This window comes from Homo sapiens, chromosome 1 (genome assembly GCF_000001405.40).
Source record: "Homo sapiens chromosome 1, GRCh38.p14 Primary Assembly".
Lineage (NCBI taxonomy): Eukaryota > Metazoa > Chordata > Mammalia > Primates > Hominidae > Homo > Homo sapiens.
The window spans coordinates 12,537,339-12,563,832 of record NC_000001.11 but is presented as its reverse complement, the minus strand read 5'-3'; the positions used below and the strand labels follow the sequence as shown (position 1 = coordinate 12,563,832).

At 52.7% G+C, this 26,494-nt stretch overlaps 6 annotated features.

Moving 5' to 3' along the window:
* Positions 9,890–10,842: an enhancer, noted in NCBI's record as "H3K27ac-H3K4me1 hESC enhancer chr1:12613021-12613973 (GRCh37/hg19 assembly coordinates)". NCBI's record gives its function as "activates a minimal SCP1, AML or CMV promoter by ChIP-STARR-seq in primed H9 embryonic stem cells {active_cell/tissue: H9 hESC(primed)}" and the evidence as "EXISTENCE:reporter gene assay evidence [ECO:0000049][PMID:30033119]".
* Positions 10,843–11,797: an enhancer, noted in NCBI's record as "H3K27ac-H3K4me1 hESC enhancer chr1:12612066-12613020 (GRCh37/hg19 assembly coordinates)". NCBI's record gives its function as "activates a minimal SCP1, AML or CMV promoter by ChIP-STARR-seq in naive H9 embryonic stem cells {active_cell/tissue: H9 hESC(naive)}" and the evidence as "EXISTENCE:reporter gene assay evidence [ECO:0000049][PMID:30033119]".
* Positions 13,740–14,034: an enhancer, noted in NCBI's record as "tiled region #1458; HepG2 Activating non-DNase unmatched - State 4:PromP, and K562 Activating non-DNase unmatched - State 5:Enh". NCBI's record gives its function as "activates a minimal TATA promoter and a strong SV40 promoter by Sharpr-MPRA in HepG2 and K562 cells {active_cell/tissue: HepG2 | K562}" and the evidence as "EXISTENCE:reporter gene assay evidence [ECO:0000049][PMID:27701403]".
* Positions 15,304–15,811: an enhancer, noted in NCBI's record as "H3K4me1 hESC enhancer chr1:12608056-12608563 (GRCh37/hg19 assembly coordinates)". NCBI's record gives its function as "activates a minimal SCP1, AML or CMV promoter by ChIP-STARR-seq in naive H9 embryonic stem cells {active_cell/tissue: H9 hESC(naive)}" and the evidence as "EXISTENCE:reporter gene assay evidence [ECO:0000049][PMID:30033119]".
* Positions 21,976–22,270: an enhancer, noted in NCBI's record as "tiled region #4366; K562 Activating DNase matched - State 5:Enh". NCBI's record gives its function as "activates a minimal TATA promoter and a strong SV40 promoter by Sharpr-MPRA in K562 cells {active_cell/tissue: K562}" and the evidence as "EXISTENCE:reporter gene assay evidence [ECO:0000049][PMID:27701403]".
* Positions 22,833–23,481: an enhancer, noted in NCBI's record as "H3K27ac-H3K4me1 hESC enhancer chr1:12600378-12601026 (GRCh37/hg19 assembly coordinates)". NCBI's record gives its function as "activates a minimal SCP1, AML or CMV promoter by ChIP-STARR-seq in naive H9 embryonic stem cells {active_cell/tissue: H9 hESC(naive)}" and the evidence as "EXISTENCE:reporter gene assay evidence [ECO:0000049][PMID:30033119]".

The window sequence follows — 26,494 nt, the reverse complement described above, 5'->3', positions numbered from 1 at the left end:
CTTTGGGCAGCACCACCCCTGTGGCTCTGCAGAGTACAGGCCCAACAGCTGCTTTCACAAGCTGGTGTTGAGTGCCTATGGCTTTCCAGGCACACAGTGAAAGCTGTTGGTGGATCTACCATTTTGGGGTCAGGAGGACAGTGGCCCTCTTCTCACAGCTCCACTAGGCAGTGCACTAGTGGGGACTCTGTGTGGGGGCTACAACCCCACATTTCCCCTCCGCACTACTATAGTAGAAGTTCTCCATGAGGGCTCCACCCCTCCAGAAGACTTCTCTCTGGACATCCAGGTGTTCCATACATCCTCTGAAATCTAAGTGGAGGCTCCCAAGCCTCAACTCTTGCCCTCTGCGCACCCACAAGCCCAGCACCACGTGAAAGCTGCCAAGGCTTGGGGTTTGCACCCACTGAAGCAATGGCCCAAGCTGTACATTGGCGCCTTTTAGCCACAGCTGGAGCTAGAGCAGCTGGATGCAGGGCATCATGTCCCAAGGCACCAGGGCTCTGGGCCTGGCCCACAAAACCATTTTTCTCTCCTAGGCCTCCAGGCCTATGATGGGAGGGGCTGTGCAAAGGTCTCTGACATGTCCTGGAGGCATTTTCCCCATTATCTTGACTATTAACATTCAGCTCCTCTTTACTTAAGCAAATTTCTACAGCCTTGAATCTCCCCTACACACACACCAAAAAATGGGTTTTCTTTTCTACCACATGGTCAGGCTGCAAATTTTCCTAACTTTTATGTTCTGCTTCCCTTTTAAGTACAAGTTTCAATTTCAGACCATCTCTTTGTGAACACATATGAGCATATGCAGTTAGAAGCAGCTAGGTCACCTCTTGAATGCTTTGCTGCTTGGAAACTTCTTCTGCCAGATACCCTAAATCATCTCTCTCAAGCTCAAAGTTCCACAGATTCCTAGAGCAGGGACACGATGCTGCCAGTCTCTTTGCTAAAGCACAGCAAGAGTGATCTTTCCAATTCCAGTAAGTTCCTCCTCTCCATCTGAGACCACCTCAGCTTAGACTTTACTGTCCATATCACTATCTGCATTTTGGTCACAACCATTCAACAAATCTCTAGGAAGTTCCAAATTTTCCCACATCTTCCTGTTTTCTTCTGGGACCTCCAAACTATTCCAACCTCTGCTTAATACTCAGTTCCAAAGTCGCTTCCACATTTTCAGGTATCTTTATAACAATGGCCCACTCGTCTGGTATCAATTTTAGTGCCATTCTCACACTGCTATAAAGAACTACCTGAGACTAGATAATTTATAAAGAAAAGAGATTTAATTGACTCACCATTCCACAGGCTGTACAAGAGGCATGGTGGGGGAGGCCTCAGGAAATGTACAATCATGGTGGAAGGGTGAAGGGGAAGTAAGCACATATTCACATGGCAGCAGGAGAGAGAGCAAAGAAGGAAGGGGTACACCTTTTTTTTTTTTTAGACAGAGTTTCACTCTGTCACCCAGGCTGGAGTGCAATGGTGCAATCTCAGCTCACTGCAACCTCCGCCTCCCAGGTTCAAGCAATCCTCCTGCCTCAGCCTCCCGAGTAGCTGGGACTACAGGCATGTCACCACTCCTGGCTAATTTTTGTACTTTTTATAGAGAGGTCGTTTCACTATTTTGGCCAGGCTGGTCTCAAACTCCTGATCTTGTGATCCGCCTACCTTGGCCTCCCAAAGTGCTGGGATTACAGGTGTGAACCACCATTCCTGGCCAGGGCTACACACTTTTAAACAACCAGATCTCATGGAAACTCACTCATTATCATGAGAACAGCAAAGGGGAAATCTATCCCCATGATTCAAACACCTCTCACCAGGTCCCACCCCCAAACCTGGGGATTAAAATTCAATATGAGATTTGGGTGGGGACACAGAGCCAAGCCATATCATCCCTCAACCCAAAAGGAAGACTTGGGGACATCCCTGGCATGCTGAGCTCCCTGAGAGTGGGGCTGTCACACTGTGATGTGATTTACTGATATTTGTTACCACACAGCTCTCCATAAATGAGGGCTGTCCACTGTGAACCAGAGGTGGCTCAGACTGGGCCAGGGGGCCACTGCCTCTGAGCTGTACAGGGTCCAGCCCCCACAACCCCCTGAGGCACTCAACTCACAGCAGCCCTGGTGCTTAGATGCCCCTTCCAGGGTGCCCCAGTTCTCCCAGACCCACCATGAGGCCAGGGGACTCCCCAAGAGGTGGGAGGCCCTGATATTTGGAGGGAGGAAATTCACACGCTGGAGTTCCACTGGCCCGGGTTCAAATCCTGGCTCCGCCAACTTTTAGTGTGACGTGAACTTTTTTCACCTGCAGAGCAGAGGTGATGCAGGTCCCTACCTGCCTCCTGGGGCTGTGGTAAGCATCCAGTGCTCATGGGATCTAAGAAGGCCCTGTGAACTTCTGAGGGCGTGGTGTGATGCTGGTGGCTCCCACGGCTCCCAGCCAGGACCCAGCTGTCCCCCAGAACACATGGGCTCACCGCCTTGGTTTGGCCTGTGACAGCAGTATCCTGCAAAGCCTGGCTGGTTCCCATGTGATTGGGGTGGGATGAAGCTGTGGCTCGGAACACACCAACATGGGCTGGGCACAGTGGCTCATGCCTGTAATCCCAGCAATTTGGGAGGCTGAGGCAGGTGGATCACTTGACGCCAGGAGTTCAAGACCAGCCTGGCTGGCCAGGCGCAGTGGCTCACGCCTGTAATCCCAGCACTTTGGGAGGCTGAGGTGGGCAGATCACAAGGTCAGGAGATCAAGACTATCCTGGCTAAAAGGGTGAAACCCCATCTGTACTAAAAATACAAAAAATTAGCTGGGCGTGGTGGCACCTGCCTGTAGTCCCAGCTGCTCGGGAGACTAAGACAGGAGAATCACTTGAACCCAGGAGGTGGAGGTTGCAGTGAGCCGAGATCGTGCCACTGCACTCCAGCCTGGGCCACAGAGCGACACTCTGACTCAAAAACAAAAAAAAACAAAAAAAACACCAGCCTGGCCAACATGGTGAAACCCCGTCTCTACTAAAAATACAAAAATTAGCTGGGTGCAGGTGCGGTGGTGTGTGCCTGTAATCCCAGCTACTCAGGAGGCTGAGACACAAGAATCGCTTGAACCCAGGAGGCAAAGGTTGAAGTGAGCTGAGATTGCGCCACTGCACTCCAGCCTGGGCATCACAGCGAGACTCTGTCTCAAAGGAAAAAAAAAAAAAAAGGAAAACCCCAACATGGTGGTGAGTGAGGAGCAGGGGAGGCCCCTGGGGAGGGCAGAGCAAAGGGGCCCTGCAGGACAGGAAGTCTACATGGGAATGGGCTGTGGTCCTCCAGCACATAGCAGGTGGGCAGGATATTTACAGGACATTCTCTGCACCTCCCACCATTGCTGGCTGTGGGCAGACCCTTGGCACCCAAATCTCTATGGCTCGGGAAGAGAATAAAAGAAGCTCTGCAGAAGGCACTGCTGGGAGTGGCAGGATCTTCACTGCCCTGCCCTGCTGGGAGCTGCTCTAGCACGTGGGTCCCCTTGGGAGGCAGCAGGCCTCAGAGGGAGGGCTCTCAAAGAGGCTTCATAGCCGGGTGCGGTGGCTCACACCTGTAATCCCATCACTTTGGGAGGCCGAGGTGGGCGGATCACAAGGTCAGGAGATCTAGACCATCCTGGCTAACACGGTGAAACCCTGTCTCTACTGAAAATACAAAAAATTAGCCAGGCGTGGTGGCAGGCGCCTGTAGTCCCAGCTACTCGGGAGGCTGAGGCAGGAGAATGGTGTGAACCCAGGAGGCAGAGCTTGCAGTGAGCCGAGATCATGCCACTGCACTCCAGCCTGGGCGACAGAGCGAGACTCCATCTCAGAAAAAAAAAGAGGCTTCATCACAGACTTGCTGGCTAGGAAGGCCAGTTCAGGGAGGCCTGGGCTGATCCAGGAGGCTGGCCAGACAGTGCCTGGCTGTGTGACTCCAGGAGGTCACCGACTTCTCTGGTTTGAACTACTAGGAGCCCCTTAGTACCCCATCCCCTGCCCATCTTTCCCCTGGGGATTTGGAGGATTCTCATGAGAGGAATAATGAAAAAGCACTTTGCAAATAAATCTGCCCTGGCCGGGTTGGTGGCTCACACCTGTAATCCCAGTACGTTGGGAGGCCGAGGCGGGCGGATCACCTGAGGTCAGGAGTTCGAGACCAGCCTGGCCAACATGGAGAAACCCTGCCTCTACTAAAAACACAAAAAAATTAGCCGAGCGTGGTGGTGCACGCCTGTAGTCCCAGCTACTCAGGAGGCTGAGGCAGGAGAATTGCTTGAACCAGGGAGGCAGAGCTTGCAGTGAGTCAAGATCGCGCCACTGCACTCCAGCCTGAGCGACAGAGCAAGACTCCGTCTCAATAAATAAATAAATCTGCCCTATGCAGGGAAGCTGGGCTATCCGTCCAGGTGTTGAGCAACAGTGAGGAAATATTTCTGAGGGTTTCTGGCATAGTGGCCACATCACAGATGTCAATGGGTTCCGTCTACATGATCACCCAGACACCATTCTAGTATCTCGGCGGCTCACATTCCACAGCTCAGTCTCTCTCTCTCTCCCCCTTCTGACAAGATGCTGAGCTCTCACTGAGAGCACTTGGGGCTCCCTGCACACACCCACACCATGCAGTCTCCTCCACCTGGAGCTCTGTCTCCATCTTCTCCCATCCCAGCTCGCAAGCCCCGCCTCAGACGTCACCTCCCGGAGGTGTCCCAGCCAGCTACGGTGGCTCCGAGTTGCTCCACCTCAGCCTTTTGCTTATTTTATTCATCAATCATCTCACCACTTGCCACTATTATTTTTTATATATTTTTATTTTTATTTTCGAGATGGGGGTCTCACAATATTGCCCAGGCTGGTCTTGAACTGCTGGACCCAAGCAATCCTCCCTCTTTGGCCTCAGGATTACAAAGCGCCCCAGGATTTCAGGCATGAGCCACTGCCTCCTGTCTATTTTTTATATTTCCCAGGTTTATTGAGATATAACTCACACCACACAATTTGCCTATTCAAGTGTGCAATTCAGTGGCACTCAGCATATTCACAGAGTTATGTGAACATCACCATAATCATTTTAGGACAGTTTCATCACCCCAAAAAGAAACCGTGTGCTCATTAGCAGCCTCTCTCCATCTTCCCCCAACTCAGCCCTTGGAAACCCCCAATCTACTTCTGTCTCTGTGGATGTGCCTGCTCCGGACACTTCATATACACGGAATCCTACAGCATGTGGCCGTTCATGAGCGGCTTCCTTCACGAGCATCACGTTTTTGAGGTTCATCCACGGTGGAGCGTGAATCAGGACTTCGTTCCTTGTTATTGCCGAATCATCTTCACAGTACGGCTCTACGGCTCTCCCACAAGTTGTTCATCCATTTATTCGTCACTATCAACGGATATTTGGGGCTATTTTTACTTATTACTTTCTTGCTCTGTCTGAGTCTCTCTCCCCCTCTGGATGAGACACCCCAGGAGAGCAGGGGTGGCCACTTTTCTCAGCACCGGGAAGAGTGCCAGCAAGAGTGCCATTCAGTGAATGTTTGCTGTCTGAACCAAGAGGGACAAATTCTTCTTCTTCTTCTTCTTGTTTTTTTTTTGTTTGTTTTTGTTGTTGTTGTTTTTCGAGATGGAGTTTTGCTCTTGTTGCCCAGGCTGGAGTGCAATGGTGTGATCTCGGGTCACTGTAACCTCTGCCTCCCGGGTTCAAGTGATTCTCCTGCCTCGGCCTCCCAAGTAGCTGGGATTACAGTCATGTGCCACCATGCCCAGCTAGTTTTGTATTTTTAGCAGAGACGGGGTTTCACCTTGTTGGTCAGGCTGGTCTCGAACTCTCAACCTCAGGTGATCCACCTGCCTAGGCCTCCCAAAGTGCTGGGATTAGAGGCGTGAGCCACTGCACCCAGCCCAAATCTTTCTTTGGAGGCAGCCAACATGGGTGCTTTGCTGTTTACCCCAAACACCCCGTTTTCCCACTCACCTTCCCTTTCACTTCCACACGGGCCCTTGAACAGGGAAACCAACACAGATTATTCAGTGTTTGATGTCAATATCAGCATTTCCTCAACAGCAGCACTGCTGGCTTCCCAGACGGGATTCTTCTTTGTGGTGGGGCTGTCCCATGCTCTGTAGGGGTCTGGCAGCTTCCCCATCTCCACTCCCTGGTTGCCACAAGCACCTTCGTCTGCCCCCAGTTGTGACAACCCAAAGAGTCTCAGGACATTACCAAATGTCCCCTAAGGCAGTGGTCCCCAACCTTATTTGCACCAGGGACTGGCTTTGTGGAAGAATTTTTCCATGGGCCGTGGTGGCAGGGATGGTTTTGGGATGATTCAACCACATTACATTTATGTGAACTCTACTTCTATTATTATTACATTGTAATTGCACAATGTAATAATTATACAACTCACCATAATGTAGAATCAGAGGGAACCCTGAGCTTGTTTTCCTGTAACTAGATGGTCTCATCTGGGGCTGATGGGAGACACAGATCATCAGGCATTAGATTCTCATAAGGAGCATGCAACCTAGATCCCTCTCATGCACCGTTCACAAGAGGGTTCAAGCTCCAGTGAGAATCTAATGCTGCGGCTGATCTGACAGGAGGCGGAGCTCAGGCGGCAATGCAAGCGATGGCGAGCGGCTGTAAATACAGAGGAAGCTTCGCTCATTTGCCTTCCGCTCACCTCCTGCTGTGCGGCCCATTTCCTAACAGGCCATGGACCAATACCTTAGGGACCCCTGCCTGAAGGAGTTAAATCATCCCCTGTCAGGAACCCCTGGTCTACACACATTTTCTCATTTCTTCTTCTTAACCCGGAGCAGTGGGAGCTGGCATTATTGGCACTGAGTAGCTGAAGAAACTGAGGCCCAGAGAGCTTCCGGGTCCTGACCACAGAGAGGCCCGCAGCAGAACCGGGAGGGGAACCATCTGCCCCAGGGCTGGGCCCTTAACCTGCCAAGGGGGAGCCAGGAAACCTCTTGGGCCTTCCATGTAACCACTTGAATCTCTCCCTCTTTGGAGCTGGTTTGAAAACTTCACTCCACCCTCTTGGTGAGTTCCGCCAGCACTGCAGAATTTTCCAGGCTGCCTTCCCCCCTCCAGCCCACAAATCCTTATCATTCCTTTCATTTCTCAGTATTCACAAGACAAGAGAAATAAGCCGTTGGAAGCAGACACAAGCTGTGTTTGTTCCTTCGAGCTGCTGCTGTGATGTAACTGGATCCTGCTTGGGAAGGTCACAAGGGGACTGTGGGCAGAGCCCCAGCCTGGGGCCTGGCTGTGGGCACGAGAGAAGGCTAAACATCCCCCAGATGCCACGGTGGATTCCTCAGGCAATGGGCTTCTTGGAGGGGTTGGGTGGGTGGGGTTCTGGCCCTAGACCACCCTTCTCAGCCATGCCAGGCCAATCTCCTTTGCTGTCCACACTGGCTGCAAACCGACTTGGCCAGCCTATCTGGGAGCCATGGAGCTTGCGGAGAAGGGAAGAGACTGGAGTTTGGAGCCAGCCATGACTGGCTGAGATTCCGAATCCTGGCTCTGTGGGACCTGGAGCTTCACCTTCACCTTAACTTAACCTCTGTGAGCCTCAGTTTCTTCATCTATAGGATGGGACTAATAACCCTGTCCTCCATAAAGTTGCTTGTAAAAATCAAGGGAGTAATACATGCCATAAATTAATGCATGTGTGCTTGGTATTAATACCAAGTAACAAATTAATAAATTTGTATTACATCGTATTTTATATTCTATTATAATAAAAGTAATAACTCATTGTGTGCTTCATATGGGATAGACCCTAAGTTATATACATTTAATAATGAAAATTTCCCAATATTTTACAGGGAACTGAGGTAGAGAGAGGTGAGGTCATCTTCCCAGGGCTTATTCACAGCTAGTAACCAGTAGAGCTGAGATTTGAACCCCAAAAACTAGTTGCGAAATCCTGGCTGTTAATCCCTGAGTTTTGTGATTTCTTGAATAAGAAGCCTACTGTGTAAAGAGTGCAGAGACGGTGCTTGCCGTTATTCATCAATATCTTTATGCAGTCCAGGACCTGGCCTCCTCCCGCCCAATCCATGTCAGTGTCGCCGCCAGGTTCCAGCACACCTTTGCCTAACTGCCTGCTGCCTGTTGCAGGTGGGCCAAGGCCAGCCTCAGGTCGGCTTCCGGGTCCCCTGTCCTGCGATGAGGCATGGATCTCCTTCCAGCACTCACTGGGGGCAGCCCTGCCCTCTTCACTGTGGGCCCAGAAGGAAGCAGAGCATCCACGTCTTCCATGCTCCAACCCTTCCTCAGAATACACACTTGCCCACCTTCTCCCCCTCTCCAGGCCCCAAGGCTTGGCACAAAGCAGCACCCATGGGCAGACTGCTCCTCTGGCCAATTCCTGGAGCCCCTAAAATGTGCCCAGCACTCTGCCAGGTGCTTTGAGGGACACTTAACAAGAATGAGGCCAGGTGCAGGGGCTCATTCCTGTAATCCCAGCATTTTGGGAGGCCAAGGTGGGAGGATCACTTGAGCCCAGGAGTTTGAGACCTAGGCAACACAGGGAGACCTTGTCTCTACAAAAATAATTAAAGATATCAGCCAGGCGTGCTGGCATGTGCCTGTGGTCCCAGCTACTCAGGAGGCTGAGGTGGGAGGATCACCCGAGCCCGTCAGGTCAAGGCTGCAGTGGGCCGAGATCATGCCATTGCACTCCAGTCTGAACAACAGAACGCAACTGTATCTCAAAAAAAAAATAAGTAGAGTGAGGAAGTGGCATTCACGGAGGGCCTGCCCAGTGTGTGAGCAGTGGTAAGCCAGCCAGGGGTTCACCAGCCTCAAGCCAGGGACTCTCTCCCTGGGGTGCCCTAGTCCCTGGCAAAGGACACTGACGTTTCCTGCAGAGTGTCTCAAATGGATGTAGGAAGCTCAAAACCTAGGCAGACATCAAGAGATGCAGCCAGACCCCAGCCTGCAAGTCCTGCCCTAGGCTGGTCTGGTGGGTGCAGGTGCCCTGGCTGCAGCCGTCGCCGCTGAACCCTAGGAGACCCTGCTGGCCCTGGGCGCTCCCTGCTGCCACCACCCGCACCCTCTCTGCTTGTCTGCTTCCCTCGTTGCTGAGTCAAAGGCTGGGGGAGCATCTGATCCATCGCGTCATGAGGATGCCCACGCCTCAGCAGCCAGGGGCGGGGAGGCAGGTACGGGGCCTGTTTGTCTCATGCTTTCAGTCAGAAGTTCCTCTGGAAACATCCCAAGCCTCAGACAGGGGCTGGTGCCCTGACCAGCCAATGGGCCCCCAGTGAGACACTAGAAAACTCCCCGAGTGGTTTCTGGTCCCATTCACAGCAATTCTTGCTCGGGCAAAAAGGAGGCATTTATTGATTCTTGTAACTGGAAAGCCCAATGATCATGGGTTTCAGTTATGGCTGGATCCAGAGTGGAAGCAGGACGCAGCCAGGACCCAGTTTCTCTTTCTCTGTCTTTCATTTCCACATCCTCTGGGCTGGCTTCATCCTCAGACATCTTTCTCTCATGATGACAAACTGGCTGCCTCAGCTCCACCTGACAGCCACCCTCCCAGGTACAAGGGCAGCAGGAAGAGAGTCTCTCTCTACTGACCCAGAGTTAGTTCTGATTGGTTCTGGTTGGCTCGAGTTGAGTCACATGTCCACGTATAAGCCAATCACAGTGGCCAGAAGACTGCAATGCTCTGATTGGCCAGCCCTGAGTCTTGTGGTCTTCTGTCCCTGCAGCCAAGGAGGGAATCAGCCCGTGGAGACACACAGACTACAAGTTGGAGAGGGTAGGTTCCCTGGAAGCCCAGTGGGCTGCCCTTGCCAGGGGAAGAGTGAAAGGATGCTGGGCACCAAAAGCAATAGCTGTCACCAGAAATGGCCATTGGTAGACTCCTTGACTTGCTCCTGGGCCTTTCTGAGTGACAGCTGGCCTGTGCCCTGACAGGCAGCCCTGAGCTCCTGGGTCTCTGTCCTGTCCTGATTGACAGTTGGCCAGCACAGTGACAGGTAGTTGGCAGCCCCCTCCTGACTGCTGGCCCCTCCTGACTGGCAGTCAGTGGGCGTCCTGGTGGGCAGCTGGCAGTGTGCTGTTGGCAGCTGACCAGTCCTGTCTGGCAGTCCATCATGGGCTGCCCTGGGGCAGGGACAGGGAACCCCTGGGATCAACCCCGTCTGTCTCTGCCCTTCCTTGCAGGAGTGGAATTAGCCCTGCTCCACCGCTCCCCAGCCAAGGGGAGAAAAATGGCCTCTGGGGGGCTGGGGCTGGTTCTAAAAGCCTTTTGTCCTCAAGGGGTAGCAGGAGCCCCTGTCCTGCCACAGCAAGAGGCCATTTGGGGCCAGCAGTGCCCTCTGGGAGCTGGAGCCAGTGGCCCTGGGGTGGAGGAATTCGGGAAATGTTGGAATGGGTGCCTGGTCTGTCCCTGCTCATTCAGTGTCACTCTGCTTCCAACAAATAGTTCTTAAAGGCCAACTGTAGGTCAGGCAGTGGGGATGTGGCCGTGAACTTGGGCAGGGGCTCGTCGCACTGAGCTTTCAGCAGATTGTGGAGGGGGCCATGGTGCGTATTAGATGGGGTGGAGAGGCCTTGTGGGAAGTGATATGTGAGCCAGCACGCAGGCAAGACTGGGGAGGGGAAGGTGTTCCAGGCAATGGAAGGCAGTGAGCAGCTGCAGTGAGGGCATGAGCGCCAGGGCTCCGGGCTCGGGATAGGCCACATTGAAGAGCACATAATGGGCCTTGTAGGGATCGCGGATCTTTTCCCAAGGGAGAAGGTGCCAGAGCAGGGAGGAGCCATGATGAGGCCTGCATTTGAGAAAGGGCATTCCAGTTGCAGACAGCCGGACTGTGGAGGACGCAGGTGGAAGCAGGGAGCCCGTCCATCATCCAGACAAGAGACGAGGTGGCCAACACTTCCAACACTTCGGAGATCAGACACTGAGCCATCAGAGGCAGACCGAAGGCCCGGAGGCCACCCCAAGGCCAGGGAAGGAGGCCGGCCTCCCTTCCGTGTGTCTGGCTCCTGCCCAAAGCCCAGGGCGGGACGGGTCACTGTAAGGCGTGGGCAGATCTGAGCGGAGTGAACAGGTCCGGGGTGGGGGCCTGGTCGCTGAAGAAGAAGGCTGGCCCCTCTGTGCAGGCGCCGTGGGGCGGCTGCCCACCTCATTAGTGCTTTGTGCCTTATGCCAGCCCCCCAGGCCAAGAAAGCCCCTTAGGAAAAAGAATGGGTCCCTGTGCCTGGGCTGGGAGGGGCTGACAGGGCAGCCTGGTGGGCAATGGGAGGGTGGGGTGCTGGCGCAGGGCTAGGGTAGGACGCGGGGAGCAGTAGGTCATCCCCCTGCTACAGGGAGGCTGAGGGTGGGGTGCTGGCCCAGGGCCAGGGTAGGATGGGGAGAGCAGCAGGTCATCCTCCTGCTACAGGGACAGGGCAGAAGGCTGAGGGCCAGTGTGTGTCATGGAGTTCTGGACAAGCGGAGGAGCTCCAGGCCCCAGTCCTCAAAGAGCCGAACGTCGCCGTGATAATGCCACGTGCTTCCATCATGCTGTGACGCTTCCAGGGCGTTGCTGAGTTTGCATTGTGTGGTTCCTCCTACGTCACTCCTGGGAGGTGGGGCTGTGGCCCCTGCCTGATGAAGAAGTCAGGATTCAGGGAGCAGCCAGCACCCAGACCCAGCGTGGAAGAGTGGAGCAGGACCTGGCCCCTGCCACCTGTGTTTCCAGGGCTGGGATCCTGAGATGAGGCTGTCCTGCTGGGACCTGGGTCCCCAGGGGAGGCAGGAACAAGATCCCTGGACACCACCATCCTTTTCTCAGCTCTTCCTCCCCTGAGCTGTGCCTTTGGCTGATCTCTCAGGAAGTCCTGACAGTTCTTCCCCTTCCTCTTCCCTGGCTCTCCCCTCCCCTCTGTCTCACCTGCACTTTTGGACAGTCTCTTAAATGTCTGCAGTGTCCCACTCCATGGACTCTGAGTCCCCCACCACAGAGCCAGGGAGTCCTTTCCAGAGCACAGATCTGACCATGCCATCTTCTGTGTAGAACCTTCAATGGCTCCCCATTGCCCACAGGATAAATCTTATGTGACTCTTCAGCAAGGCCTAAAAGGCTCTTTCTGACCTGGTCCAGCCAATGAGGGTCCATAAGTTTTGCTGGGTGATTTTCCAGAGTGGAAGAAACATTATCTTTCTGGACAAGTATTAAAGAAAAAATTTCATTCTCATTAACACATGGGAAGATGGAGTCTCTCCTTTTTTTTTTTTTTTTTTTTTTTTTTTTTTTGAGACAGAGTCTCGCTCTGTCACCCAGGCTAGAGTGCAATGGCTTGATCTCAGCTCACTGCAACCTCTGCCTCCCGGGCTCAAGCAATTCTCCTCACTCAGCCTCCCGAATAGTTGGGATTACAGGCACCCGCCACCACGCCCAGCTAATTTTTTGTATTTTTAGTAGAGACGGGGTTTCACCATATTGGTCAGGCTGATCTCAAACTCCTGAGCTCAGGTGATCCACCTGCCTCGGCCTCTCAAAGTGCTGGGATTGCAGGTGTGAGCCAGGAAATCCAGCCAGGAATCTCTCCTTTATGTATAAAAGTGCTAGCACACAAAGGGGAATGAGGACCAATGCTCATGGCAGCATCATTTGTGTTGAAAAAGAAACAAGAAAATGATGCAAATTTGCATCAGTTAGGAGTATGGATGACTTATGGTAGGTACTCATACAATGGAACACTACACAGCAATGAAAATGAACACCTCCCGGCCACATGCAGTAACACGGGTGACACAAACAAAACATTGAGCAAAGGAAGCCAGATACAAAAGACTGTCTTCTGTATGATGAGGTTCAAAGACAAGTGCAACTCATCTGTGAGATCGAGGTAACCCGAGTGGCCACCTTTAGGGCTGCTATGGTTGGGGGGAAAACCTCTGGGGGCAGGAAATGTTGGGTGTCATGATCTGAGGGGTGGCCACACACACGTGACACTGACTGAGCTGTACACTTCAGAACTCTGCTCTGTGTGTGGGGCCTACCCCATTACAAAAGCAAGCAGGTGGCCAGGAGCCGTGGCTCACGCCTGTAATCCCAACACTTTGGGAGGCCAAGGTGGGAGGATTGCTTAAGACCCCTCCTGACTGCTGGCCCCTCCTGACTGGCAGTCGGTGGGCGTCCTGGTGGGCACCTGGCAGTGTGGTGTCGGCAGCTGACCAGTTCTGTCCGGCAGTCCATCACAGGCGGCCCTGGGTCAGGGACGGGGAACCCCCAGGGTCAACCCCATCTGTCTCTGGCTCTGCCCTTCCTTGCAGGAGTGGAATTAGCCCTGCTCCACCCCTCCCCAGCCACAGGGAGAAAAATGGCAGCTGAGGGGCTGCGGCTGGTTCTAGAAAAAGGAGTTTAAGACCAGCCTGGGCAACATAGTGGGACGTCTCTACAAAAAAAAAAAAAAAATTAAAAATTAGCAGGGCGTAGGGATGAGCATCTGTAGTCCCTGCTACTCAGGAGGCTGAGGTGGGAAGATCGTTTGAGCCCGGGAGGTCAAGGCTGCAGTGAGCTATGATCGCACCACTGCACTCCAGCCTGGATGACAAGGCAAGACCCTGTCTCAAAAAAACAAAAAAAAAGTAAGCAAGTGATATTAACCGCGATTCATCCCAGATTAGGAATCTCGTGCAGCTATGAACAAGAATGACTCAGATATGTTGGAGCCGGGGCTGCCCCGCGCGGCACGGTTAGTAAACAGCTGCGGAGGAATGTGTGGTGGGGATCCTATTATTGTCAAAACAAGCGATTCCCTGCTGACACACACGCCCAGGTGTCCACACGCTTGTGTGCATTTGTGAGTGCGGAGACCGTGGAGAAAAGGTCACCTGAGATATGGGGGGCGGGGCTGCGGCTGGGATGATTCACTCTTTGTCTATCTTTGTGTTTCCACTGGCTGCTGCCAACACAAATGGCTTTTATAGTTGCCAAAAAGGGATTTCAATGAAAGAATGAAAAGTGAGAATGGGAAAGAGAGTCCAGGGGCTGAGAGCGCAGCTGGCTTTGGGGTCAGAGTGACCTGGGTTGTTCGGTCACCACCAGCTTGGAGAAGTAAGGAAGTGACTCCCCGCCACCCCCAGCCGCGTCTCCCAGGCTGGAAGACCGAGCTGCTTCATGGATGATGGAAGTCACATGTGCCAGGCCTTTTGCACAACCTGGGATCCCGCGTGGTCAGTGGCACTGTCACTATGGCGACTGTCCTCTGCCCTCCACCCCCAACCCGAATCCCTCTGAACTCCCTCTCTCCACAGCCTTGCCGCATCTGTCAAAGGGAAAGGGAGACCGAGGTGAGGAAGGGTCTTCAGAGATCAGACCCTGAGCCATCAGAGGCAGACCGAAGGCCCGGAGGCCACCCCAGGGCCAGGGAAGGAGGCCAGCCTCCCTTCCGAGGCCGGCTGGTCCATGTGTCTGGCTCCCGCCCAAAGCCAGGATGACAGATGGCCCCCACAGGAAAGGTCACTGTCTCCCGAGCAGTTGTGTGTTTGGCGAAGGCGGGCGGGCGGGGCGCCTTCCGAGGCTGGCTGGCGGATGTCTGGCGTTCGGGGGCCTGCACCTCGCCGGCAACCGGACTTTATTTTGGTTACTGAAGATGGGAAGACTGCGGTCATAAATAACTGTCCACAGCCATGTAGCCATCCTCTCCCGGCGCCCGGGCCCCAGGCCTCTTCAAGGCCAGCACGTCCCTGCCTCAGGGCTTGGGCGGGAGGTCTGGTGGCGGGGCTCGGAAGCCCAGTGGGGAGGCGGGGGAGAAGGGAGAGGGGTCTCAGGGCCTGGGTTCAGAGCAAGGTTAGCCAAATAGTGGATAAATTAAGCGAGGGAACAGACAGCTCCCCTCACTGTGAACTTTTCACCCAGCTAACCTGCTCCTCACCCACTCTCAGGTGGCGGCGGCTCCCGCCCCAGGGCTGTCACCTCTCGGGGGGGTTGTCACCTGCCTCTTCCCCCACTGCCAGCCCAGGTGAGGCTGAGGATGGAGGGCTCGGGACAGACTCCCCAGCCAAGGGCCCAGCAAGGAGCTCTCGTGACTTCACCTGGAAGCTCAGGGCTTGGCCCAGCCTGAGGTCCACACTTGGGCAGGGTGGCCAAGCTTCCTCCCTCCCTCCCTCCCTCCCTCCCTCCCTCTCCAATGCCCTCACCTTGGCCGGTCACACAACCCTGGCGAACCCCAGCATCTGCCCTTGACAGGGACAGGGGACCCTTGTCGGGGGCCAGGGTCATTCCATCTGAAGTTGGCCCTGGTGCTCTGGGGCTTCTCCCAGGCGTGACCCTCTCGCCCAACCCTTCTTCTCTTTGCTTGTTTCCAACCTGAGCCACCCCTTACGGGACAGCTCCACCTTCAGGGAAGAAGGGAAGAGCCCCTCCCTCTGGAAAAGTGGGTTCAGGGACTCCCGGGCAATGGCCATGCCCCAGGCTCCTGCCCCAAAGGTTTGCCCCTCACTCACTGGAGCCCACCTGGACCAGACATCATGGACAGAAACCTCTAGGTAGCCACAGAGTGGTGGCTTATGGGCTTAGGGGGAGACAGTGGAAGTGTCTGGTCCCCCCAGGAAATAGGGTCAGCAGGAGAGCAGGACGAGACCTGGCGGTCTGGTCACAGGCCCCGGCCTCCTGCCGCCTTCCTCTGCCAATCTCCTCCGCTGCTGCCTGCCCAGCCCAGATCCTCAGATGGTTCCCCAAGAAGATGCAGGGCCCAAATCCACGTGGAGCTCGGCCGGGGTGAAGGGTGACCCAGGCGGGCACAAGAGGATGCCCTGGGGCCCTGCGAGTGGCCTGATGTCCCTTCACTCCACGGCACTGGGTGGCTGTGGCATGCTGAGCACTGGGCTGGTGCCTGCGTCCACAGAGGGGAGAGTGACAGAGAGGGGGCAGGAGGTGGGCAGACAGATGTGGGCACAGACCACCCACAGGGCAAATGCCAGGTGGATGGAATCCTTGGAGGGCAGCTTTGGTGGGGGCTGTCAGCACAGGCCTCTCAGAGGAGGTGGCCTTTGAGCTGAGGTCCGAATGACAGGAGGGACACCTGTGTAAGGAGAGTGGTGTGAGCTGAGGTCGAGAGCTGGGCAGAGCAGAAGCACAGGGCCGCGGGGCAGTGTTACGGGCCAGGAAATAGCAGGGGCCACGCCAAGGTCATGAGCTGAGATTCGCCCTTGGGCTTCTTGGTAGATTGTCCTCCTGTTGTTGAATTGAGGCGACCCCATCTCCCTAACGAGGGCACCCTCTGATCCTGTCCACCACATGGAGGACCCAGGACAGACGAGCCCTCTGGGAGGCTCGTCATTGGGAGCCAGTCCTTCTGGCTCTGTCATTCCCATCCTGGCTTCAGGCCCTGCAGTCTCAGTTTGGGTTTCTGTAAAATGGGAACTCAGTATCAACCTTCTCCAGAACTGAGGAGGAGAAAAAAAAAATGCAGCTGCTTGGGAAGCGAGCATCCCCTGGAGAGAGGGTGGAGGAGGAGGAATTGTACTCGCAGCTTGGCAAGCACGTGGGAGCATTTGGCCCCCGTTCTCGCAGTCACAGACGTTCCAATGTGGCCAACACCCCGTGGAGGAAATGAAAACCCGAATGCTTTGTCCCTGCCATCTGTAACTTTCTTCTCTCCCTGGGGAGGCGTTTGGTGCTGACAGGCCTGAGGTCTCTGTAGGAAGGGAGGATTGGACCATCCCTGGTGAGATATAGACCCCCGAGGTCTATATTCTGGGACTGGGGACCCATAGGCTGCCTGCTCCTCTGCTGGACCCAGAGCCATCTTTCCCATGAAACAAATGGACCCAGTTTGGGGCCAATCATGTCAAGAACACAATCCCTTGAGTTGTGCTTGTAAGAGTGGGGCTCCGCTGCGCAGACTAGCCACACCCTCCTACCCCATCCTCCCGGGCTCAGGAGCCTGCCAGCTCCTGGATGGGGACCTAACGGGATGAACCCTGTGGTCATTACCCCATCATCATAGGCTATGGCCAGGGAGATGGGGAACTTGGGCCCAGGGTGGAAAGAATGAGGCTCTGGCTCTCCTATGAAGAGGTGTCTGACTTCAGGGAATGTTTCTGGGACTCCATAAACCATCACCATTGTTTACTAACATGCAATTCGCGCTATGTTTTCTTTCTTTCGTTGTTGTTGTTTTTGTTTTTGTTGTTGTTGTTTTGAGACATAGTCTGTCTCTGTGGCCCAGGCCGGAGTGCAATGGCGTGATCTCGGCTCACTGCAACCTCTGCCTCCCAGGTTCAAGAGATTATCCTGCCTCAGCCTCGGGAGTAGCTGGGATTACAGGGGCATGCCACCATGCCTGGCTAATTTTTATATTTTTTTAGTAGAGTCAGGGTTTAGCCATGTTTGCCAGGCTGGTCTCCAACTCCTGACCTCAGGCAGTCCACCCGCCTCGGTGTCCCAAAGTGCTGGGCCATAGCTCTATGTTTTCTAATTGTAAAAATGATACAGCAAGGCGCGGTGGCTCATGCCTGTAATCCCAACATTTTGGGAGGCTTGAGTCCAAGGGTTCAAGACCAGCGTAGGCAACATGCTGAAATCCCGTCCCTACAAAAACTGGCCGGGCGCGGTGGCTCATTCCTGTAATCCCAGCACTTTGGGAGGCTGAGGCGGGCAGATCATGAGGTCAGGAGATCGAGACCATCCTGGCCAACGTGGTGAAACCCCATCTCTACTAGAAATACAAAAATTAGCTGGGCATGGTGGCGCATGCCTGTAATCTCAGCTATTCAGGAGGCTGAGGCAGGAGAATCACTTCAACCAGGGAGTTGGAGGTTGCAGTGAGCCAAGATTGTGCCACTGCACTCCAGCCTGGTGACAGAGCAAGATTCCATCTCTAAATAAATAAATAAATAAATAAATAAATAAGTATAAAAATTAGCCCAGCATGGTGGCAGGCGCCTGTAGTGCCAGCTACTCGGGAGGCTGAGGCTGAGGCAGGAAGATCGCTTAAGCACCAGAGGCGGAGGTTGCAGTGAGCTAAGACTGTGCCACTGCCTGGGCGACTGAGTGAGATCCCATCTCAAAATAAATAAATAAAAATGATACATAATTATTTTTATTTTTATTTTGTTTTTTGAGACGAAGTCTCACTCTTGTCCCCCAGGCTGGAGTGCAGTGGCACAATCTCAGCTGATTACAACCTCCACCTTCCGGGTTCAAGCGATTCTCCTGCCTCAGCCTCCCGCGTAGCTGGGATTACAGGCGTTTCCACCATGACGGGCTAATTTTTGTATCTTTAGTAGAGACGGGGTGTCTCCATGTTGGCCAGGCTGGTCTCAAACTCCTGACCTCCGGTGATCCGCCCACCTCGGCCTCCCAAAGTGCTGGGATTACAGGCGTGAGTCAGGGTGCCTGGCCGATACATAATTTTTTTAAAAAATAAAATAATGCCAACATGCATTCAGATCTAGGCTGAGATTTCGCTGCATCGAGGTGGTTTGTTTTCCCCAACTACCTCATTAAACCTGTGTCTGTCACAGAGGAAGCGCTCCATTCAGATGTGTTGAATGAATGAAGGGAGGAAGGAAGGGATCACAAGTTAAACTTATGTGATCCTTCAAAGAGAGCTGACTGCTTTAAAAATGGGTCACTGTGGTCATCACCATCCTGCTCCCCAGAGAAACAGGTTCTTCCTGAAGCTGTGCCCACCCGCGGTGGGATTTCCCCCAGGGACCATGACCTTTCCGCTTCCTGTCTTTCCCACAGTTCCCCAGCCAGGGGCTTCCCAGAGCAGATAGTCCGTCCATGGGCTCATTGTTTTAAAATATTTAATCAGTATTATTACAAAGATGATATCGTGACAAGAAAAGAAAAAAATTTAAAAGAAAATTGGGCACTCACCAAGTACCCAATTTTTTCAATCGTTTTTATAATTTATGATTTTTGCTTAACGCTTTCACAGATGTTTTTTGTATTTCTGCATAATCTTTAAATTTCTCCTTTTAAATATCATTGTAATAGTTTTCTACTATTCCTTCGTGGGGTTTTACCGTATTTTTGGAAAGTTTTTTTGATAGTGGATGTTTAGGTTGTTTCCAGTTTTTTCCGCTCACAATAATGCAGCCGTGCATGTTTGAATGGTTCTGGCCCTTTGCATCTCATAAACCTTTTCCTTGGGATGAATTCCAATAGAGAATTACTGGGATGGAAACATCGTTTTATGACTTTCTTTCTCTGGGTGTGAGTTAATTTCTAAGTACGACAGCAATTTGCAATACCTTCAACAGCAGAGTGAGTACCTGAATTTCTCTGCATGCTTCAGAATCCTGGGTGTGACCTTGAGAACACTTTTCTTTTCCTGGTGCAGTGGCTCATGCCTGTAATACCTGCACTTTGGGAGGCTGAGGCAGGAGGATCACTTGAGCCCAGGAGTTTAAGACAAGTCTGGTCAACATAGGGAGATAGGGAGGCCCTTTTTCTACCAAAAAAAAATTAAAATTAGCCGGGCATGGTGGCACATGCGGGCAGTTCCACCCGTGGTCCCACTGAGATGGGCAGATTGCACTAAGCCATGATCACACCACTGGACTCCAATCTGGGTGCCAGAGCGAGACCTTGTCTCAAAGAAAAAAACCTTGTTTTAAATTCATTTTGTAAATATAAAATAGCCTCTTAATACTGCCTTAGTTTCCCCCTCTTTGATGATGAGTGAGGACAATCACGTGAACTCAGAGCACGTGAGCTTGCCATGTTAATTAACCTCTGAGCCCCAACCGGGTCAGATATAAACTGGGAATGCTGCCATTTCCAGCTGGTAAGTTTTTCTTTTTGTCCAATTCAACCAATCATTTGATCTTGATTTGTTTATTTATAGGAGCTTTAGATACATGCGGTACTTTCAGAATAGCAAAATCAAAACATGGTCTTTGCCCCAAGAACTTACGACCTATTTCCATATTGCCAGTGTGTCTCAGAACTACCCTAAATGAGTCTTAGGAGTAGTTTGAATGTCCAATAGTAATTACGTCATCTGCGGAACCCAGACGCCTCAGAAATAAATTAATTTCATCCCAGACGTAGTTATCAGGGTTGTGGCTATGTAAACAGTTTTCATCATTTCATACCTGAATGAATGAATTATATTCTGCAGAAAACTGGTTGGTTGGAGAGATTTAATTAAGACAGGAATGCAGGAATTTTCTTGGGACAAACAAAAGGATTATAGAACTTTGTAAATAATATACAAAAAAATTAGAAACGTACATTTGTTGGTTGGATTTTCTTTCTTTCTTTCTTTCTTTCTTCTTTCTTTCTTTCTTCTTTCTTTTTCTTTTTTCTTTCTTTCTTTTTTTTTTTTTTGACAGGATCTCTGTCGCCCAGGCTGAAGTGTGGTGGCATTATCCTGGATGGCTCACTGCAGCCTCGACCTCCTGGACTCAAATGATCCTCCCACCTCAGCCTCCCCAGTAGCCGGAACCACTGGTGAGTGCCACCATCCCTAGCCAATTATTTTATCTGTAGAGATGAGATCTCGCTATGCTGCTCAGGCTTCTCTTGAACTCTTGGGCTCGAGTAATTCTCCCACCTTGGCCTCCCAAAGTGCTGGTATTATAGGTGGGAGCCACTGTGCTTGGCCATTTGGTTGGATTTTCTTGCTATACTCCCTGTGCTAATGAAGTGAGATGTAAAACTTACTTCAGTGTCTAATACAGATAAGCATTCAATGAATGCTGACTGCCCAACTCTAGTTTCTTCATATGTAAGTGATTCTTTCACGTCCTCTGTTTGTCTACATTAAACTCAATGTTTTTCTTGTTTATTTTAATGAATTCTTTATATATTGTAGCCACTCTTTTGCTTCCTGTTTCCTGACATTTTACTTTGTCCACAAAATTTAGAACATTGGAAACATTTCCTGTCCTGGGTTACATTAGAGTCACACTCCTGCTATTCTATGCTCTACCCCCAACCCCCCCACCGCCCCCCGCCACCAACTCTCTAAGACTCAGTGGGCTGAAATGAGAGCCAGGAGGTTTACCAGTTGGAGCAATTTAGTTGATTTTGTCCTGGGCTCAGGCAGCTTTCCCTGATGTCATTTGTTCCCTGGGGATTTGGCTCACTGAAGCACACAGGATAATTCTTCTGGAATGAAAGGACTTAGAATCTCCTCATTCAGAGGGTCTCTTGCCTCAAATTCTATTCTGGGTCCGTTTTCTTATTTTATGGTGGTAATTGTTATTGTTCTTGCTTTTTTTCCTTTTGCAGCAAACTCACTCATTATCAAATATCCAACAAGAGTGTTCTAGGTGCAAGACTTTGAATTTTGGGGACACAATGGTGAACAAAACAGACATGTCCCTGCCCAAGCGGAGTTCACAGCAGAGTTCCTGGGAGATGCACACTGGCCAATGCCATCCAGTCCACAAGTGCTCATCAGGCACCTGCCGTGTGCCAGGCTGTCTTCTGGGCCTGGGGACAGACACGTGAGCAGAGATGGTCCCTACCATCTCTGCATCGGGAGCTTATCATCAACACAAATCCACGAAACATGACATTTAACATGCGCAAAGCTGCAAAGGAAGGGCTGGCAGAGCCACGTGGACTACGGTACAGGGAGGGACTTATTCTGACCAGGGGTCTGCCAGGAGGGGTGTCAGTCACGGAAGGCTTCCCTGAGGAAGCGACCTGTGTCATGAGCTCTGATGGCTGACTTAGAATTAACCGGGCAAATGGGGACAAGACTTTTTGACACAAAGGGAATAATAGATGCAAAGCACTTGGGGTGGGAGGAAACAGTTTTAAGGGCCCACTCAGGGCTGGATCCAGGGTGGGGCACCGGGATTCTTGGGGCCAAAAGGCTGGGTTTCTCCTCGTCTGGTGAATCAGAGTTTGGGGGAAGCCTCTACTGGTTTAGCCCACCCTCAGAGCCCTGATCCACCAGCTGGGCAGCTCAGCTCATCTTTTGTCTGGTGGTGGGGAAAGGCTGTTGGAGGCGCTGAGGGGCAGAAGCCTGTTTTTGGAGGGCCCGTGGCAGAGAGTGAGGGAGGGCCACGTGGAGCCCCACGGTCACCCTGCTACTTTCTCTGACCTCAGCTGCGGCTTGGCCTCCCGCCCTTTGGGAGTTCACAGGGAGGTGAAATCTGCAAGCGGAGGCTGGTTTCTTCCCCTCCTGGGAGGACTGAGCTATCCAGACAAGGCCCGGGAAGGCCCCTTCCTCCCCTTCCAGGGCTCTCTGGGATCTGATGAGCCATTTGTCCAGCTCTGTCTTCTCCCCTCCCCAGCTCTGGGGACAGAGCAGCTGGGACTGCAAAGACTGTCCTGTTCCTGATGTAGGTCCCCACACCTGGAGACCCAGGGGCTGAGGCCGGCCCCCTGCACCTCCTCCAAGCTGCTGAGCTCAACTGCACTCTGTGGCCCCAGGAAGGCATGGGAAAGGCTGCCCCCCTGGAGCACTTCATGGCTGTCGAGGCGCACGTTGCAAATCAGGCTCTGGCCCTTTGCCTCTGCGAGCACTGGGGGCTGTCACTTACGACCCTGTCCTTACAGGGAAATTCCAGCCCACAGCTCAGGGCCTTGGGAGCAGCCGCATAGACTTCGGAGCCAGGCAGCTCTGGGTTGGCGTCCCTGACCTGTCTCACTCTCTGCAGGACACTGGGCACATTTACGTCTCTGAGCTTCAGTTTCTCCATGTGTAAAAAGGGGTCTACCCCTAAGCTGCAGCGCTGTGGTACTTATGGTGGCAGCTGGTGACAATTCCTGACAGCGGGAGTTGGGGGGTTCTTTACCACCAGTGGCTCCTCTCAGAGTCATTCAACCCAGGCAGGGGCACTGGGGAGATGGTCAGTACCGCCCAGGTAAACCGAGGCCTCACGTGTAGGAGCCTGCTTTCTGGAAGGGAGGCTCTGCCAGCAAGTCTCATTTCATCCTCAAAAGAACCCAGGGATGTAGTTATAAGCAGGATTCGCCTCTGACAGATGAGGAGAGGTTCAGAGAGGTTGACAAACTCACTCAAGGTTGCACAGCAAGTAAAAGGCCCAGCTGGGATCCTTCAGGGATTGCTGGACCAGGGAGCCCCTCCTCTGCACCGTCAGGAAGGGTCCAGTGCTGGGCCCTGAAGCCAGGAGCCCGAGAGGACGTTCTCAGCACCAGCTCCGCCTGCAAGCCCAGGATTTCCCACCCCCATGCACCGCACCCAGGACCCCAGGACAGTGCCCCTCCCCGCACACTGGGCTCTGGCCTCAGCCTGCCTCTGGGAACTTGGCGTTGGAGTTGGGGGAGGGTGGAGGGAAAGGCAGCCTTCGGAGCTGTCCCTGGGAGGGGAGCCGTTTGGCGTGAGGGCCGGGCCAGGCCGGCCTCCTTTGTTGCAGGCTGACAGGACGGTGCGGCCACCACACACTTCAGCTGCCAACTCGCCGCGGTCACTCAATCCATCACCGAGGGCGGGGGCTCCCGGCCCTGCTGGCTCCTGGCCGCTCGGCCTGCGATGTTGTTTTAGTCTGACTCGGGCTGTGAGATAAACGGGGCATGAACCGGTCCCCTGGCAGGGGGTCAGCCCCTTCTGCCCTCATTAAAGTGCCAATCAAGAAGAGGAATGGAGACGCTGAGTGAGCTCAGCCCTCTCGGCCAAGGGGGCAGGAGCCGGTCCCCCCACCACGGATGCCTGGAGAATTCCATCCATCCAAGGCCTGCGGGCGTCTGGTTGCAACACACCCAAGCAGCCGGCCCTTGGTGTTCCGTTCCTTCCCAAGCCTGCGTATGTGAGCAGCGGGTGGGGTGGGTACTTGCGACTTTGAATTTCCAGCTCCCCCAACTGGAAGGGAAATTCAAAGCAGCAAGTACCCACCCACCTCCTGCTCACACGGGCAGGCTCGGCTTGCTGTTGTGGCAACGTCACAAACCACCCCAAAACTTTATGGCTTAAAACAATTATCTCCAGGCATGGTGACTCATGTCTGTAAAACTAGCACTTTGAGAGACCAAAGTGGGAGGATTGCTTGAGGTCAGGAGTTCGAGACCAGCCTGGCCAACATAGTGAGATCCCACCTCTATCAAAAAATATAAAAATTAGCTGGATTAATGGGGCACACCTGTAGTCCCAGCCACTCAGGAGGCTGAGGCAGGAAGATCACTTGAGTCCAGGAGTTCAAGGCTGCACTGAGTCACTTGCACTCTAGCCTGGGCCACAGAGCAAGACCCTCTCTCAAAAAACCAAACCAAACCAACCAAACAAAAAAACACCCAGCCATTTGATGATCTTGTTTGAACCTGAGGGTGGACAGGGCTCAGCTAGGTGAATCATCTGCTCCATCATCTGCTGGGGTGGTGGCTGGAGGGGCTGTTTGCTGGGGCTCTTCTGGGCTGAAGGGTTCAACATGGCTCAGGCATGTGGCATCTTTGTGGGGACACCCAGAAGGCTGGGACACCTGGTTCACGAGGATGGCTGTGCCTGTCTCTCTGTCCCTGTGGAGTCTCGGGGCCTCTCTCCCTGTCTTACATGGCCTCTCCATGTGGTCTGTCCTGCAGGGTAGCCAGACTATTCAGTGACTTGGGGCTCCCAAAAGCACATGAGTGAAGGTGCTAGGCCTTCATAAGGTTTTGGCCTGGAACATGGCACAGAGGAACGTCTGCCCCATCCTAAAGCAAGTCAGGAACCAGCTCTCTTTTCTCCTGGGCACTCTGCCTGGAGGGCAAGTGGATCAGCAGCCTCTTGGGGTGTGGGGTGAGGTGGCTGGAATTCTCTCTCTCTCTCTATATATATATGTATACACACACACACACACACACACACACACACACACACACTCCACAATTCTTCAACTCTCTGGAAGAACCCCTCAAAGTCTATAACAAGGCATTCGCAAAAACATAATTAATAGTATGCTTTCATATTAATTTTACATATTAAATAAAAATAATAATTGGACCGGGTGCAGTGACTCACACCTGTAATTCCAGCACTTTGTGAGGCCAAGGCAGGGAGATCACTTGAGGATCTGCCAGGAGTTCAAGACCAGCCTGGGCAACATGGCAAAACCCTGTCTCTACAAAAAATTAGCCAGGCATGGTGACGTGTGCCTGTAGTCCCAGCTACTCGGGAAGCTGAGGTGGGAAGATCACTTGAGCACAGGAAGCAGAGGTTGCAATGAGCTGAGATTGCACCACTGCACTCCAGACTGGGAGACAGACTGAGACTGTCTCAATAATAATAGTAATAATAATAATAATTGTTACCATTGCTTAAGAACTTATGCCAAGCATTGTTCTAAGCAATTATAGCTTATTTAATTCCCCTGATAGCCCTGTAGGGATGATATAACTATTACCCTTGCTTTACATGTGTCTAAGATAAGTGGCTAAACTGTAATAGACTCCCAAACATTTAGTAACTCAAACACAATAGAGGTTTTTATCTTGCTCTCTTAAGGAAAGATCAGCATTCCTGGTGGGCAAGCAGCCCTCCTCCCTTTAGTGTCCCATAGATCCAGGCTCCATCCATCCTGTGACCCCCACCCCTCACCTCTGGTCCCCAGTAGTGCATAGATCACTCTGGCAGCTACATGAAGACTGGGCCATGGATGGTGTGTGCAGCTGTGGGCAAGCAGAGGGGTTTGGGATATTCACCATTTGCCTTCTAAATTTACTCTCCCTTTGTTCACCCTGCTCTCTGCCCTGGGAGGCTGCCCTCTGTGGACTATATCAGTGGGCTCCCCAACCCTCCAGCTTCCAGTTAGGCTCAGCCAGTGGGAGACAGAGCAGGAGATCAGAGGGCAAGAGGAGAGGGGAGGGTATTGATTTCCCTGGCTCTCTGTCTCCACTAGGCTGTAGTTTGGAAGTAGCTGACTTTTTCTACCAAAGGCTATGGCTCCTATCAGGGGGCCGGCAGCTTTGACTCTCACCCATCTTAGGGATGGTAAGAGGATACGTCACCGTCTCTTGTTGGTACCCCTGATCCCACCCGCAGCTTGTAATCAGCCCGTCTGCTAACCTCTCTGCAATCTCTGTATCTGTCAGAGGATACAGCTCATCTACATTCTGCAGTGGTCTCAGCTGGCACAGGAGGCAAGGGAGGAAGCAAGGAACCATTGAGAATGCTACAGTAATAATCCAGGAGGGAGATGATGGTGGGGTAGCTTTCCAAGGTCGGGCCAACAGGATTTTCTGATGGATTGGATATGGGGTTCGAATAAAAGAGAAGTTTCCAGGATGATTCCAAAATGGTTGGCTTGAGCAACTGGGAAAATGGAGTTATTTATTAAGATGGGTAAGACCAAAGGAGAGGCAGGCTTGGTCAGTTTTGGACATGTTAAGTAAGGCATGCTTTTTAGGCTTCTAAATGGAGACATTGAGAGGCAGATGGAGCTCTGAGTTTGAATTTCAGGGCAGAAATTCAGGCGGGAGATAAGACTATGAGACCTGCCCATATACAGATGATATTTAAAGCCATAGGACTCAGAGAGATAACCAAGGAGAGTTTGGCTGAAGAAAGGAAGAGGACTTACAGTGAATGCTGCGGCT